The following is a 15307-nucleotide window of genomic DNA, read 5'->3' on the forward strand; positions in this document are numbered from 1 at the left end:
GTGGAAATCAACTGCCACAAAAACACAACCTTTTACGAGACAACGTGATGTGCATGAGAAGCCCTGATGTTGAGAAGCTCATAATTCGGTGTGAGAAACACACAAGGCATGATGCCATTCCCATCTGGGATGAACAGGGAAGACTTCCTGGGAGAGGTGACTATGGACTTAATTTTGTTTTGACACAGCAAAAACATGAGGAATGAATTTTGTGACTTGGAAGATTGTTAGTTTTCTGTGGAGGGAACAACACTCATCTTGCAAATTTGCCTTCACTATTCAATCATTAGAAAATAATTTTAAATGAGCTTAGCAGTTCTCAGAATTTTGGATTTCAGGAAACAAACTTTTTAAAAACAAAACAAAAAGGAGGATACCAATTTAAGCTTGTCAAAAAGATTTTCCCCCAAAAGAAAAACACATTAAAAACAACGACAAAAATCAACAAAAACTAACACTATTCCCCCATCAACAATCAATATTACTTTCTAAAAGCAAGGGCGTTTTGACACCAGATATTGTGAGGACATCCACCTGCTCTAAGGGACAGCCATTTCACTGGTGTTCTGTCAATTTTTATTTTGAACTAATTTTAGACTCACATAGAAGTTGGAGAAGTAGGCTGGGCACAGTGGCTCATGCCTGTAATCCCAGCACTTTGGGAGGCCGAAGCGGGCTGATCCCTTGAGGCCAGGAGTTCAAGACCAGCCTGGTCAAATAGTGAAATCCTGTCTCTACTAAAAATACAAAAATTAGCCTGGCATGGCAGCGCACACCTGTAATCCCAGATACTTGGGAGGCTGAGACATGAGAATCACTTGAAGCTGGGAGCTGGAGGCTGCAGTGAGCCAAGCGGAGTGCCACTGCACTCCAGTCTGGGCGACAGAGTGAGACTCTGTCTCAAAAAAAAAAAAAAGTTGCAGAAATAGCAATATTTCACAGTACCTCTACTTTCTTGTAATTTTAGCAGTTTACCTAATCATGGTATAATAATCAAAACTAGAAAATAGACAATGGTGCTAAATATTAACTATACTTGTTACTCAAATTTCACCACTAAAGCAGTGTCATCTTTTTATTCCAGGATCTAGTCCAGGATGCCACATTATATTTAATTGTTGTATCTCCTTGGTGCCTTTAGTGCTTTTTTTTTTTGAGACACGGTCTCACTCTGTCACCCAGGCTGGAGCACAGTGGTACGATCATGGGTTACTGCAGCCTCCACCTCCTAGGCTCAAGCGATCCTCCCACCTCAGTCTCCTGAGTATCTGGGACTATACGCATGCACCACCATGCCTGGCTAATTTTTGCATTTGTTTTATCAAGGCAGGGTTTCATCATGTTGCACAGGCTGGTTTTGAGCTCCTGGGCTCAAGAAATCTGCTTACCTCGGCTTCCCAAAGTGCTGGGATTACAGGCATGAGCCACTGCACCTGGCTTGGAGCATTCAGTCTTTGATAGTTGCTTACTTATTTCCTTCTTTCTGATCTTGAGACCTTGATTTGTCCAGTATTTTCTCATCATTAGCTGAGTGTAAGCATTTTTTGGCAAGAACATTATAAAAATGATGTGGTGTCTTTCTTAGTATATTATCTCAGGTAGAACATAATGTTGATCTGTCTCATCCCTGGTAATGTTAACCTTGATCACTTGGTTAAGGTGATGTCTGCTGAGTTTTTCCAATGTAATGTTATTAATTTTTCCTTTGAAATTCATAATTATTTGAAGGGAGATGTTTTGAGATGATGCTGGCAGCCCCGTTTTCCTTAAACTTTCACATGCTGACTTTCTATTGTTGGATCTTGCCTGCAGCAGTGTTTACCATGATGCTTGGCTAGTGGTGACTATGTATTTCCCTTACTCTTTTTATAGTCAGTAATTGGAATTCTTCTGAAGAAAGAGCTATCCCTTCTCCCCCATTTCTTTCTTTTCTTTTCTTTTTGTTGAGACAAAGTTTCACTCCTGTCGCCCAGGCTGGAGTGTAATGGTGCGATATCGGCTCCCTGCAACCTCTGCCTCCTGTGTTCAGGCGATTCTCCCGTCTCAGCCTCCCAAGGAGCTGGGATTACAGGTCCATGCCACCATGCCCAGCTAATTTTTATATTTTTAGTAGAGATGGGGTTTCACCACTTTGACCAGGCTGGTCTCAAACTCCTCTTCTCTGGTGATCCTCCCACCTCGGACTCCCAAAGTGCTGGGATTACAGGTGTGAGCTACAGCGCCTGGCCCCTCCCCCGTTTATTTCTGATTCAATTACTTTATATTAGCGTAGATTCACAGGTATTTCCTTTTTTTTTTTTTGATTTATTAATACCTCCATTTATTCTGTTGCTGAAACCATTCCAGCTTTTTCTGGTTGGCTTCTATGAAGGACGCTATTTTAATGGGGTGATTTTTTTCTTCTCACTACATTCTTCCTCACTCCCCACTTTTTATGTCCGGTGGCCATAGGCTGGTGAGAACTTGATTTTGAACAGTTGAAGGTCTGCTGTTAGGGACGTGCTAATCTAGGGAATTGTACTGAACTCGTGGGAGCATGTTAGTATCAGATGTGTGCCTTGTCCGTCTTGCTTGTAGGAAGAACAAGAGACGAGACACAGCAAGGTGATGATGGGTATGTGAAGCAGGATAAAGAAAAAAACAGGACAGGCATTACAGGCTTAAGCCTGTAATCCCAGCACTTTGGAAGGCCAATGCGGGTGGATCACCTGATGATAGGAGTTCAAGACCAGCCTCACCAACATGGTGAAACCCTATCCCTATTAAAAATACAAAAATTAACAGGCGTGGTGGCAGGCATCTGTTGTTCCAGGTACTCGGGAGGCTGAGGCAGCAGAATTGCCTGAACTCGGGAGGTGGAGGTAGCAGTGAGCTGAGATGGCACCACTGCACTCCAGCCTGGGCAATGGAGCAAGACTCTATCTACCCCCCACCCTGCAAAAAAAGAAAAGAAAGGAAAAAAAATCCTGGTGCTTGTAGGAGAGGCATTTATTTCTTTTAGGACTGGACGGGGCTTGGAGGGTTTCCAGGAAACAGCCTCAACCTAAAAATAGTAGACACAGTTCATGAAGAACTTACTATGTGTCCAGTAGATAAATATACCACAAGCATTATCTTCTTTAATCATCTCACAATCTTATGAAGGAGATACTAGTATTTTGCTTGCAAAGATGAGGGAAGTGAGTTTCCGAAGTTGCTAAATGCGTAAAGGAGGTGGTGGTGTCAGAATGTTATCCTGCTCAGATGGTTGCATGGGACAGTGTCCAGAGGAAGGCCTCTGATTCCTTCCCCAGCATTAGGCAATATTCAAGTCTTCAGTTCCATGTGTAGGGGAGAAGACTTTCCTTCTGCTCCCTAATGACAGTGGTACCCACACCCGTATTCCACCATAAAATCTTTTTTATTCAGTATTAGGAAAAAAGAAACATCTTTCCGTCCAGTGGTCACTGTGTGTGTATGTGTTTGTGTGTGTGTGTGTGTATGTGTCTGTGTGTTCACCGTGCTGTGTGAATTGTGGCTTTAAATGTATTCCTGTCAATTCCATATATTTTTAAAATGTTGCTTTTAGAGTATGTGCAAGTTTGGGGCATTTTTGAGGGCTTTTTTTTTTGACGGGGTCTTAATATGTCACCCAGGCTGCAGTGCAGTGGCGCGATGACAGCCCACTCCAGCCCCAAACTCCCAAGCTCCAGTGATTTTCCTTTCTCAGACCCCAAAGTAGCTGGGACCACAGGTGCACACCACCACTTCCAGCTGATTATTTAAAAAAAAATTTTGTAGTGACAGTGTCTTGCTGTGTTTCCCAGGCTGTCCTTGAACTCCTGGGCTCAACTGATCTTCCCAGCTTGGCCTCCCAAAGTGCTGGGAATACAGGTGTGAGCCACTGTCCCAGGCCAGTTTTAACTCAGAATGATTTCATAAGAAATCCACATCTGAGAGTCCCAGAAGGTAAGATATTCCCCTTTCTTCTAAATATACTTGACCACCACCATTCAGGTTCTTCTATTAACCTTCCTATATTTGCCAACCCTCAACCTGTTAGAAACAAGAAATGGGACTCTGGAGTAGATGTTAGCAACATCATGAGCTCAAACCCCTCCAGCTTACAGCGGAGACAGTGAGGTCCTGTAGGATGAGGTTGGAGAGCAGGAACTTGCCCGAGGTCATGTGCAGAGTTCGAGGCAGGGCCTGGATGGGAAGCCCAGCATGGAGACCCCAGGCCGTCTCTCCGCCATCTTGTTGTGATGCTTCCGGAAGAATGCCTGTCACTCTTGCTGACATCCGACTGACCAAGTGGGCAAGAGGAATTCTTCAAAACAATTTAATAAATGCTTACATTTTCTCTTGGCCCCGTGCCACATCCCCCCACTCAGTCTTGTTTTCAAGGTTGAAGGTTCCTTCAGAGCTAGTGACCTTGCCCTTCCTGGCCTGTGGATGTCGCTCTCTATCCGTAACCCTCCTTTCCAGCGACCCTGTTTGCAGCAAAGACTATAATTTTATTTTGGGTTTGGATATACTGATTACATTTTAGCTTCTGGTATATTTTCTTACCTGTCACAGCCATTAAATTTATTTTAATAGTTACTCTACTCTCCTGATAGCCACTAAAGGGGGAATTGGATATTGTCTATCAATTGGTTGGTCTCTGAACTAAGGCTGTATCTAATTACAAGGCATTGTATCGGTTCTGATTTATTAACCATTTACTTGGCTTTGGAGAAGGCAGCATTTTTAGTAGTACTGTTGAGCCTGCATGTAGCTTTTCCAGGAGGGCAGGGTGCCCGGAATATCTGATCTTACAGTTATTACTTTGTGTCATATATAATTTTGTTTTCTCCCTGCAACAAATAAATCTTTGGGACTCCGGAAGAAAAAAAAATGGGAAAGAAAAAAAAAATTTGTGGTTACAGTATAATAAAAATAAACTGTTTGTCGTGACTGCAGCTGACATTTATCAGCCTGTTTGTGGGTGCTCTTTCTCTATAATACAGAACATAATTTGTCACTTTGTAAATACATTCCAGTCTAAATCCCTGCCAGCATCTGTTAGTGTTTGAAGGATTAATGTGCTACCCTGTGTATGTCTGCACTTCCAGGGAACAGTGTAGCATCTGATTACAGATCGTGGGAGAGCAGGAGGGAACAAGGTGTTTTCTGTGCTTTTTCCTACATGCAGTCGTTTTGGCCTTTTTCTGATTTTTCTTGTCTTTATCCCATTCTGTCTAGGTACCTGGAATTTCATTCTTTACAAAGATGTTCCTGGTCCCCAACCTTTCTTCTGTCTGTGATAGTCACAGCTGAAGTCATAGTATTTTCTGTGTACTATGGGTTGAGCTGTGGGTAATTCTTTGGGGCCGGTTAGACTTGGGTTCAAATTCTTTCTCCAACTAGTTTATGAGCTTAAGTTATGTGATTTCCATTTCTTCACTTGCAAAATGAAGATGCTAATACCTACTTCTTGAAGATGCTGAGGTTGAGGGAAGAAATAAATGTTAATGCAAAGTGCCCAGTTTAGTGCCTGCCAAGAGTAACTGGTGGGTCTGTGTCACCTTCTGACATTATCAGTGTGATTGTCTCCAACGCATCCATGGAAGTGAAACCGCTGGAGGAAGCTAATGCCGTGAGCCAGCTGTTGGTTATGTTTTTGTTTTGTTTTTCTTTTTTACTTGCTGGATAGTGGGTTCTGTTTATTGAGAAATATTTACATCCGTCTAAATCAGGTGCTTGCTAGGGTTCTTGGCACACAGAGCATCCCACCAATAAACTGTGGTTCCCAACAAGGCTTGCAACTGAATCTGGGCAACAATGAACATGACTTCAATAATGACAAAAAGATTCAGATTCCTGCTGGAAGGTCCATATGTGCTGTCCCCAGTAGGATTCTGGAATTCCCTGAATCATAGTGTTGCTTGTAATTCTTTCCACATTATGAAGTGGCTCTATAGACTGCCTACCACCTTGTATCTACTGCTGTCGTTTAGATTAGGAACAGATTGCCAGATGTGGAAGAAATAGCCTCATTAGTAACTTTTCTGTAAGCAATCTCCTTATTTCTTGTTTTTTGTTCTTTTGTTTTTTGTGTGTGCTTCTGCGTGCCCCTCCTCTATGGCTCCCCCCACCAAATTTCTGTGTCTTCATTTGCAACTCTCTTTTCTCCAGTAAAGAGGAAAGTGTATAGTTCTCCTTTCCTTACAGAAACATTATTTTGTTATTGTTGTTTTGGTTTGGGTTTCTGAAGTATAAATGCATATGAACTGGACAGAAGTATTATGCCCATGTGCCAGGTGGCCAAGATGGGGCTTGTGATTTGAAGCTTCTTTTCCTAGATTCAGGAAAGTATCACTGGTTAATCAGGGAATACATCTTTCGGCCCATTGGAAAATGTCTGTTCTTAGCACCCTAAATGCCCAGGTATTAGCATACTTGGGAAATGTCTAGAAACCCCTATTTCAATTTACTGACCATTTTTGGTAAATTCCTAGAGATGCCAAAATGCATTTCAAAAAGCTTTCATGTTCAAGAAGACTTGTGGAATGATAGAAAACATTTAACGCTGTTATGTACGAAGTGAAATACTGTTAAACTTTTAGATTATTTAATAGAAGACACATTTTACAAGGCAAAGTGTTTAGATATGCTCCCTCCTATGCCTATCCACACATCCTTAACTCTTCACGTTGTTTGAGACTGTTAGGCTGTTTTTTTATTGTATATTTCATCAAATAGTGGGTGATAAAACAACAGACACTCTAAGGAATGGCATGACATTCTCCTTTCTTCTCCTGCATTCATTGGAACCTGAATGTAGTATTAATTATAAGACTGTTAGACTTCAGGGGACTACACTCTTATTCTAAAATAGTGGTCAACTAACTGTGCCCTTCAGACAGAATTCCTGCCCAGCACCTGGCTTTGTAATTAAAGTTTTACTGGAACAGAGGAATACCAGTTAATTTATATCTCGTCTGTTGCCACTTTTGCTTTCATGCTATTAAAGCTGAGTATTTGGGAGATACTTGAAAAATCTAAAATGCTTACTATCTGGCCCTTTAGAGAAAAGGTTTTCCAATCTCTGTTCTAGAGGATTCGTGGTCATTTGGAAAGAAAAGTATGTTAAGACAAAATGAGCAGGTGGTTGGATTAGTATTTTCTTTCTACACATATAGAAACTGTTCCTATCATACGTGACTCAGTTTTCAAACTTGCTTAATCCAAAGCCTGGGGGGTGGATGTAGGAGAGAAGTTGAAATTAGCTGGGGTTTTTTTTTTGTATCACAAAAGTTACATTTTTTTTTTTTTTTTTTTTTTTTTTTTAAGACGTAGTCTTGCTCTGTTGCCCAGGCTGGAGTGCAGTGGTGTGATTTCAGCTCACAGCAAGCTCTGCCTCCCAGGTTTACGCCATTCTCCTGCCTCAGCCTCCTAAGTAGCTGGTACTACAGGTGCCTGCCACCACGCCCGGCTAATTTTTTATATTTTTAGTAGAGACAGGGTTTCACCATGTTAGCCACTTTGGTCTCAATCTCCTGACCTCGTGATTCAACTGCCTCGCCCTCCCAAAGTGCTGGGATTACAGGCGTGAGCCACCGCACCCAGCCGAAAAGTTATAATTTTAATGGTCTAAATCAAATTTGTTCAACCTGCAGCCTGTGGGCACATGTGGCCCAGGACAGCTTTGCAGCCCAACACAAATGTATAAACTTGCTTAAAACATGATGAGATATTTTTTGCCATTTTTTTTTCAACTCATCAGCTATCATTAGGGTTAGTGTATTAATATTTTATGCACAGCCCAAGATAATTCTTTGTCCAGTGTCACCCAGGGAAGCCAAAAGATTGGACACCCTGGGAATAAAACAGAAAAAAGGTGTAAAAGGCTTCGAGTTCATGGACAGAACAACATTTTTGTAAGTAAAGTATTTACGGATGTGGCCCCTTTGTAATCTCCTGGGCTCAGGGATAATTTCCAGGCTGGGGAGAAGGTTGTGTCATGGAGACAGCAGTACTGTTTTGGAAGGAGAATTGACTTGTCACAATGGACGGAGAACTACCATCCCATTTGGGCCAACCTCTTTTTTTTTTTTCTTTTTGTTTCGAGATGGAGTCTCGCTCTGTCACCAGGCTGGAGTGCAGTGGTGCAATCTCAGCTCACTGCAACCTCTGCCTCCCGAGTTCAAGCTATTCTTCTGTCTCAGCCTCCTGAGTAGCTGTGATTACAGGTGCGTGACACCACACCCCGCTAATTTTTGTATTTTTAGTGGAGACGGGATTTCACCATGTTGGTCAGGCTGGTGTCAAACTCCTGATCTTAGGTGATCTGCCTGCCTCAGCCTCCCAAAGTGCTGGGATTACAGGTGTGAGCCTCTGTGCCCGGCTTCTGCCAGCTTCTCATTATGATTTTTGAGCAGATTTCGCTGCTTTTTCTGCCTTTGTTGTGTTTATAAACTAGAAGTAATTATGTCAACTTTGTAAGGGCTCAGTAGCGTAGAATAAGGCCATGTCTGTAATCTCCCCTTCTGTGAACAGAGGTTATGTTCTCAAAAGCCTTCAATTAACATGAGTGGAATGGATTTTCTAAATTTATATGGAGGAGAAAGTTGTAGGTCCTATATGAGTGATGACAGGTGATACTTAAGTTAACTGGAACATATGGCCCTTAGCCACAATTTCCCCACATGCCCTTCTGGGGGATGCTTTGTAGACCTGATATCCCAGAAAGGAGTGTGGACTCATAAAGTCACTGCTGTCCTTTGGTTTTCCTGATGTACCAAATGTAGTAAGGCCTCTTTTCAATGTGGTAAAAGCTCTGGGCCACCCCATAAGGCTGCAAGCGCTAGAAGCTCTTCCCATAGAGAACATCTATATCCTCAAACCAAGGAGAAAAAGGAAGCTGCTGTTCATAAATATTGAAGAGGCAGGGAGAGCTTGCACTGAGGCCAGGGTGTATTAACATGCATGCCATCGTGAAGTGGCTTCTAATGGACATTTGTAAGGTGGTGTCCCCTCCCTTCCCCTCCCCCCTCTAATGCTGCCTGGGTTGCTCTTTGCAACACGTGCAGTCTGCAACTTAGCTGGCTTTTAGCAAAATTACCCATCGCGATTCATTTGTCCCATTGGGCCATGGGATAGGTGACTACAGAGCCAGATTCGAATGTGGCCCTGTGCCGGTGCCCAAACCAGCAGGCTGCACGTGTGCACTGACAGAATGGTACATCCCACCACTGCTCTGTGTCTGTGTGCGACTGTCAGTTGCTCTCTACTGCTCCTCATAGACTTCCTGTCTGCCTTTCTCTGCATTTCTCAGTCTCCCCATCTCCCCTTCTTATCTAATCCCCTTCCTTCCTCTCTCAACTCTTCCTTCCTCTATCCTTTTTCTTTCCCTTTTTTTTTTAACTATTCTTCTTTAGAGTTTGTTTTCTCATTGAACTTGTGATGTACACATTAAAGGAAAACTCATTAATGTGGAAAATTAGGAGCATCATAGCTAATGTATGCTCAGGGCTTACTGTGTGCTAGACATTATTCTGAGTTTACACAGTGATGTCAGATTTCTCCTCTGTCACAGTAAGTTCCAAAAGATAGTGAAGAATATTGCAGTGAAAACACTGAAACTCACATATTTCATACTCAGGGGTATCTTTTAAGTGTGAAGCAAGAGAAAAAAACGTGGAAAAAAAAAGACTCAGGAAATGCTTTCCATTTAGCTTTCTTGACTAAGTTAGTGGAAGACTTATTCCAGATTATAAAGAGAAGAACCAAAATAAAGAGTTTAAGAATGAAGGGGTATGCAGCAACTGGTAGGGTCGAGTCTCCTCAGGCACAACATGCAACCAAGGAGGGGCAGCTCACTCGGCCTGCGCTGGCCACACAAGTGCACCTGCCACAGTATTGAGGGGCTGGACTGATTTCTCATTAATGTCTGGGCAAAACTCAAAGAGGCAAACATTTTCATTACATACTGTTATCCATCCTATTGTGGGACCAATTTCTCCAGAAAGGTCTCTCTCGGTGGGAGGATTAATAAACACCATCAGAAATCCAATTAAACCCAATTGTTAAAATCCAACAAATACGTTGCTTGTGGATACAGTTGTGTATAGTAATGTGTATGGTGATGGCCTATCATATAGGAATGATAGAGGCAGCACAGTGCTGTAATGGAAACCATAAGGGCACGCACAATGGCTCATGCCTGTAATCCCAGCACTTTGGGAGGCCGAGGCGGGAGGATCACATAAGGCCAGGAGTTTGAGACCAGCCTGGCCAACATGGTGAAACCCCATCTCTACTAAAACTACAAAAATAGCCAGGTGTCCTGGTGCATGTCTGTAATCCCAGCTACCTGGGAGGCTGAAGCATCAGAATCGCTTCAGCTTGGGAGCTGGAGCTTGCAGCCAGCCAAGATCACACCACTGCTCTCTATCCTGGGAGACAGAGCAAGACTGTCTCCAAAAAAAAAAAAAAAAAAAAGGGCATGGATCTAGATGCCAGACAATCTGGGTGCATATCTTTGCTCCAAAAGCAAAGATTGTAAACTCTCTTTACAATCTGGGGCAAGTTAGCTAATCTCTGCTTCAGTTTGCTCCTTAGCAAGATGGGATGATATTACCACTTACCTCAGAGAGTTGTTAAATGGGTAAATTCATATGTAAGTGTTCTTAGAGCAGAGTTCAGTACATAGTAAGTACTGTGTAAGAATTGGCCATCATTAATATTATTCATTGGATAAATATCAAATTCAAAATACCGTTTACATTGGGAAAGGGAAAAAGGAGAGAAATATATGAGAGACGTATGCTGGGGGTATCTACGATGTTTTTTTTTTTGATTTTTTTATGTCATTTTAAATGTTTCTATTCTTCTGTTCTGTTCTTAAAGTATGCCTGTAATTATTAGGATATAATTATGGATTCTGTCTTATTTATTTTTTAATCTTCTTATTGTGTCTATCTTTTGTCTTTCTCCATATTCTGGGAGAAACATCTAAGTTTCCATTCCTTATAACTGATTATTTTTCTTGGGATCAATTCTGGTCTTCACCATCTGCCAATGTGAGTTTTAGTTTCTCTATAAACTTTTAAACTTTAAACTTTTTTTCTTTTTTTTTTGGGGGGGGGGGGGCAATGCATTCTTAACCCCCTTCCAGTTTTTCTCAGCCTATTCTTGTTTGTTTTTGTTTTCTATTTCTGTTTCATTGAGATGCATACAAAATGGAAGATGGCCAACATTTCTAAAAATTTTGTTTCCTGACATAGAGAACGTTTAGAGGTCAGGTTGCTCTGAGACTGTGTTGTGATTTCTTTTTTTTTTTTTTTTACTTGTTTGTCCTTTCTTTTATTATCTCTTGCTGTTATCCTCACTTTTTTCTTTGCTGTTCTTCATCCTTTAATTAGCATTCAAACTAATCGTTATTAGAGTGTGTAACATGATCTTTGACATACCTAGGTAATTTTACTTAAGTATATGAGTTAAGTTGATACGCACAGTTCCTCAGCATGAATGTCATTGTTTTGCAAATTTTAGCTGAAGGTGACATCACTGTACTAAAATTTTCTTGTGCATCCACTTCCTAGCTATGACTCTCTACAGATGGATATAACTTTTTTAAGATGAAAACCATTTATTTTCAATTTCTAGTTTAACTGCCTCACAGTAAAAAAGTGTACTTTTTGTGATGGCAGGAATTTGAAGTATGTTGAAACTGCCTTTGTGATCTGGCTCATGGTTAACTTCAATAACGTATGAAAAGAATCCATATTTTTATGTGTAGTGTTCTGTAGCTCTTTTAGTTGGTTTATACTCTTTTAATGGTCTGTTGACCATTTTATCTAAATATTCCATTTTGTCTTTTACTTATTTCTATTATAAATGGTTAATCTCTTCTACTAAGATTGTTAAATCCATCTTTTTGTTTATGGCTGTGTTATTTGGCACATGCAAGTTCATGATTGTTATATATTCTTGCTTAATTATTTTTCCCTTTATGCATCATCCATTTTTATCTTTAGTGTTTAGTGTTTTTTATTTTTATTTTGCCTAAAATTTTATTTTTATGTTAATATTTGCTATACTAGCTATTCTGCTTTCAAAATGTTCCTGATGTTTTTCTTTATCTTTATCATTTATCTTTTATCTTTAACATTTTTATATTTCTCTCTTTTAATCATGTGTGTTAGGTAGGCAAGGATAGCTGCTAGGACAAAATATTTTCTGATGTTTTAATAGCTTAACACAATGGTAATTTATTTCCAGCTTATGTAACAGTGCTTATTGGGCGCTCAGTTGAGGCTGGAAATAGACATGTGAGTGTTTTATGGACTAGGCCTTGAAGAAGTGTACCTCCCTTAGATTTATATTCCACTGGCCAACTCTAAGTCTCACGGCTATGCCTAATTGTGAAGGAGACTGGGCAATGAATCTAGTTGAGTGCCCTGCAAACTAAGGCACAGGGATTTTTGTGAACAGCTGGTAGTCTCCATTACAGTTCTCACATCTGGACAACAAGTACCTTTTGCTCCCTTATTCTCACACAGAGAACATATTCACTTTTCTTCCAAAGGCAGAGTCTCAAAATCCCATTTAATTCTTTGATTCTGTGCAAATTCTAGGGTGTCCTTCATGCTTAGATATGGTTCCTTATGGTCCTGTGGGTTTCAGAAAGGCAGCCCATTCATGCCGTCTACCCCCCTGCTGCTCTATATAATAGAAGGTGGAGTAGAGACAGAATATCAGTAGCAAAATCTCCATTTTCAAAAGAAAAGAATGAGAAACATGTTGCTCCATGACAGTCAATGATAGAATCACGCTGGGGAGGTAAAGAACCTTGTAGTAAGAGAGCATTCTTTATCCAGGTCTGAAATCTGCTCTCTGGAGGGAAGTGCCCTGTCCATTATCCTCCATGGTCCCATCTGAACTGGATCTAGAGAAGGGTTACTCTCCTTAGGGGAATTAGCAGCTGTCAGCCCACTTCCTGCTGGTGCATGGTTGAGGCTCCGTTTTTTTGTTTTTAGCAGTTATAGGCTTTTAAGGTCAGATTAATCTTTATTTAATTTCTTAATAATCTTATAGGATTCAGATGTATTTGTTTCCCATTAATTCATGAGTAGTGGCCACACCAGTCTTTCCTAGACTTGAATCTCAAGTTGCTTTATTTTTCTAATTTGTTATCATCATGCCTCTCTTTCAGCACAGTAGCAGCTACTATGAGGCTATTTGGAATAATGAGCTTGGTTTGAAAAGTAGCATCATTAATCTGATATATGCTACTGGGCTGAATTATTTGAATTCATAATGGGCTATTGTCTCTCAAAGACTTTTGCAGGCTTATTTTATGCTTTTTGGACTCCAGAATCAATTGACTTTTTCAACTCTGTAATGTCCTAACTTTCATTTCTGCTTGCACACTGGACAATGCTTTTTTTCAGGAACACATCTCTTTCTTGTAATATCTTTGTAAAAGCAGCGTGGAGCAGCCAGCACACAATGACATTTTAGCTCTTCCCTAGAGCTTCAGACTCAATAGGTACTAGATCTACCTTATGAGTTATGGCAGAGCACAATTTTACCAAAAGTCTTTCAGTGTAAAGACACAGATCCACATGGGTGTCTCTGATTGACAGTTGGCTTTGTCTATTTGGTGAGTAGGATATCCAAGCTCATTTCATTTAGTGGCTGTATTGTCCCCTAGGAACTTATTATAACTTAACGTTTATCTCATGGAAGGTTGAAGTATGGGGAACCCAATTCATATGAGAAATAGCCCAGGAGTTACATTCTCTTCTGCTCAGTGACCATTAGTGGAAATGTAAATATCTCACCTCAATGCAGTGTGGGTTAGGAAATGTGGCTTTCTGTCTAGTCAACCTCTTTTTCCTATGCTGTGGAAAGAGGAGAAGTATTCTGAGGGACAGCTAGTTCTATCTGCAGTGTATCTTTTTTAAACAGCATAGAACTATTTTTTTTTTTTAATTCTAGTCTTGGTTTCTGCCTTTCAATGTGTGAATTTAAGTTCATGTTTCTTTTGATGACTGATAAATTTGAAATAATTTCTGTATTTCATTGTGTTTTCTTCACTACCAAGTTTTTCTTATTTTTAAACTTTTCTGAGCATATATATGTATATTTTTTGAGACAGAGTCTCAGTGTCACCCAGGCTGGAATGCAGTGGCTTGATCTCGGCTCACTGCAAACTCTGCCTCCTGAGTTCAAGCAATCCTCCCACCTCAGCCTCCCAAGTAGCTGCATTAAATACGTGTGCCACCAGGCCCGGCCAATTTTTGTATTTTTAGTAGAGATGGAATTTCACCATGTTGGCCAGGCTGGTCTTGAACTCCTGACCTCAAGTGGTCTGCCCGCCTTGGCCTCCCACAGTGTGGGGATTATAGGCGTGAGCCATTATGCCTGGCCACCAGGCATATTTTGGAATTGATAGAATTTCTTTTTATCTGAGTTACTCCATACATCATTTTTTCTCCCTGTTGCTCATTTGGAAGCTAATGATTCTTTCCTCCCTTTCTTCCTTTCTGTCTTTCTCTGTTTTCCTCTCTCCCTGTTAGTCTTGAAAGTCTTACGTACATGTTTAAATTTTTTCTTAGAGTATCAAGTTATTTAATGTCTATCATTCTAATCAACAAAGCCAGACCATGCATGATTTAATGGATCAGTGAAATCCTTCCCCCCATAAAACAAACTTCACTTGTTAGTGTTGTTTTAGTTGCTTCTTAAATTCATTTTCAGTATAATTTATTTGGTCCTGTAGCTACTCCAAATGACGCACAAAATTTGGCTAAACTGATGACTCTTTTTGTGTTTATGGTGTTTTGAGTCCTCAACTTTTTCTGTCTTGAATTTTTTTTTTTTTTTTTTTTTTTTTTTTTTTTTTTTTTTAAGGCAGAGTTTCTGTCTGTCGCCCAGGCTGGAGTGCAGTGGCGCGATCTTGGCTCACTGCAAGCTCCGCCTCCTCGGTTCATGCCATTCTCCTGCCTCAGCCTCCCGAGTAGCTGGAACTACAGGTGCCCGCCACCAGGCCTGGCTAATTTTTTTTGTATTATTAGTAGAGATGGGGTTTCACCGTGTTAGCCAGGATGGTCTTGATCTCCTGACCTTGTGGTCCGTCTGCCTCGGCCTCCCAAAGTGCTAAGATTACAGGCACGAGTCTCCGCACCCGGCCCTGTTTTTGCATTTTTAGTAGAGACGGGTTTTCACCAGGTTGGCCAGCCTGGTCTCAAACTGTTGACCTTAGGTGATCTGCCTACCTCGGCCTCCCAAAGTGCTGGGATAACAGGCGTGAGCCACTGCGCCTGTCTACATT

At 41.0% G+C, this 15307-nt stretch overlaps 1 protein-coding gene across 2 annotated transcripts in view, besides 1 other annotated feature; it reads left to right on the forward strand.

Moving 5' to 3' along the window:
• Positions 1-15307, forward strand: part of WWOX (WW domain containing oxidoreductase) — a 1113014-nt gene that overhangs the window by 260030 nt on the left and 837677 nt on the right. The gene's annotated exons all lie outside the window — the stretch shown is intronic.
• Positions 12370-13002: an enhancer, noted in NCBI's record as "OCT4-NANOG hESC enhancer chr16:78405950-78406582 (GRCh37/hg19 assembly coordinates)". NCBI's record gives its function as "activates a minimal SCP1, AML or CMV promoter by ChIP-STARR-seq in primed H9 embryonic stem cells {active_cell/tissue: H9 hESC(primed)}" and the evidence as "EXISTENCE:reporter gene assay evidence [ECO:0000049][PMID:30033119]".

Source organism: Homo sapiens, chromosome 16 (genome assembly GCF_000001405.40).
Source record: "Homo sapiens chromosome 16, GRCh38.p14 Primary Assembly".
NCBI classification, from domain to species: Eukaryota; Metazoa; Chordata; class Mammalia; order Primates; family Hominidae; genus Homo; species Homo sapiens.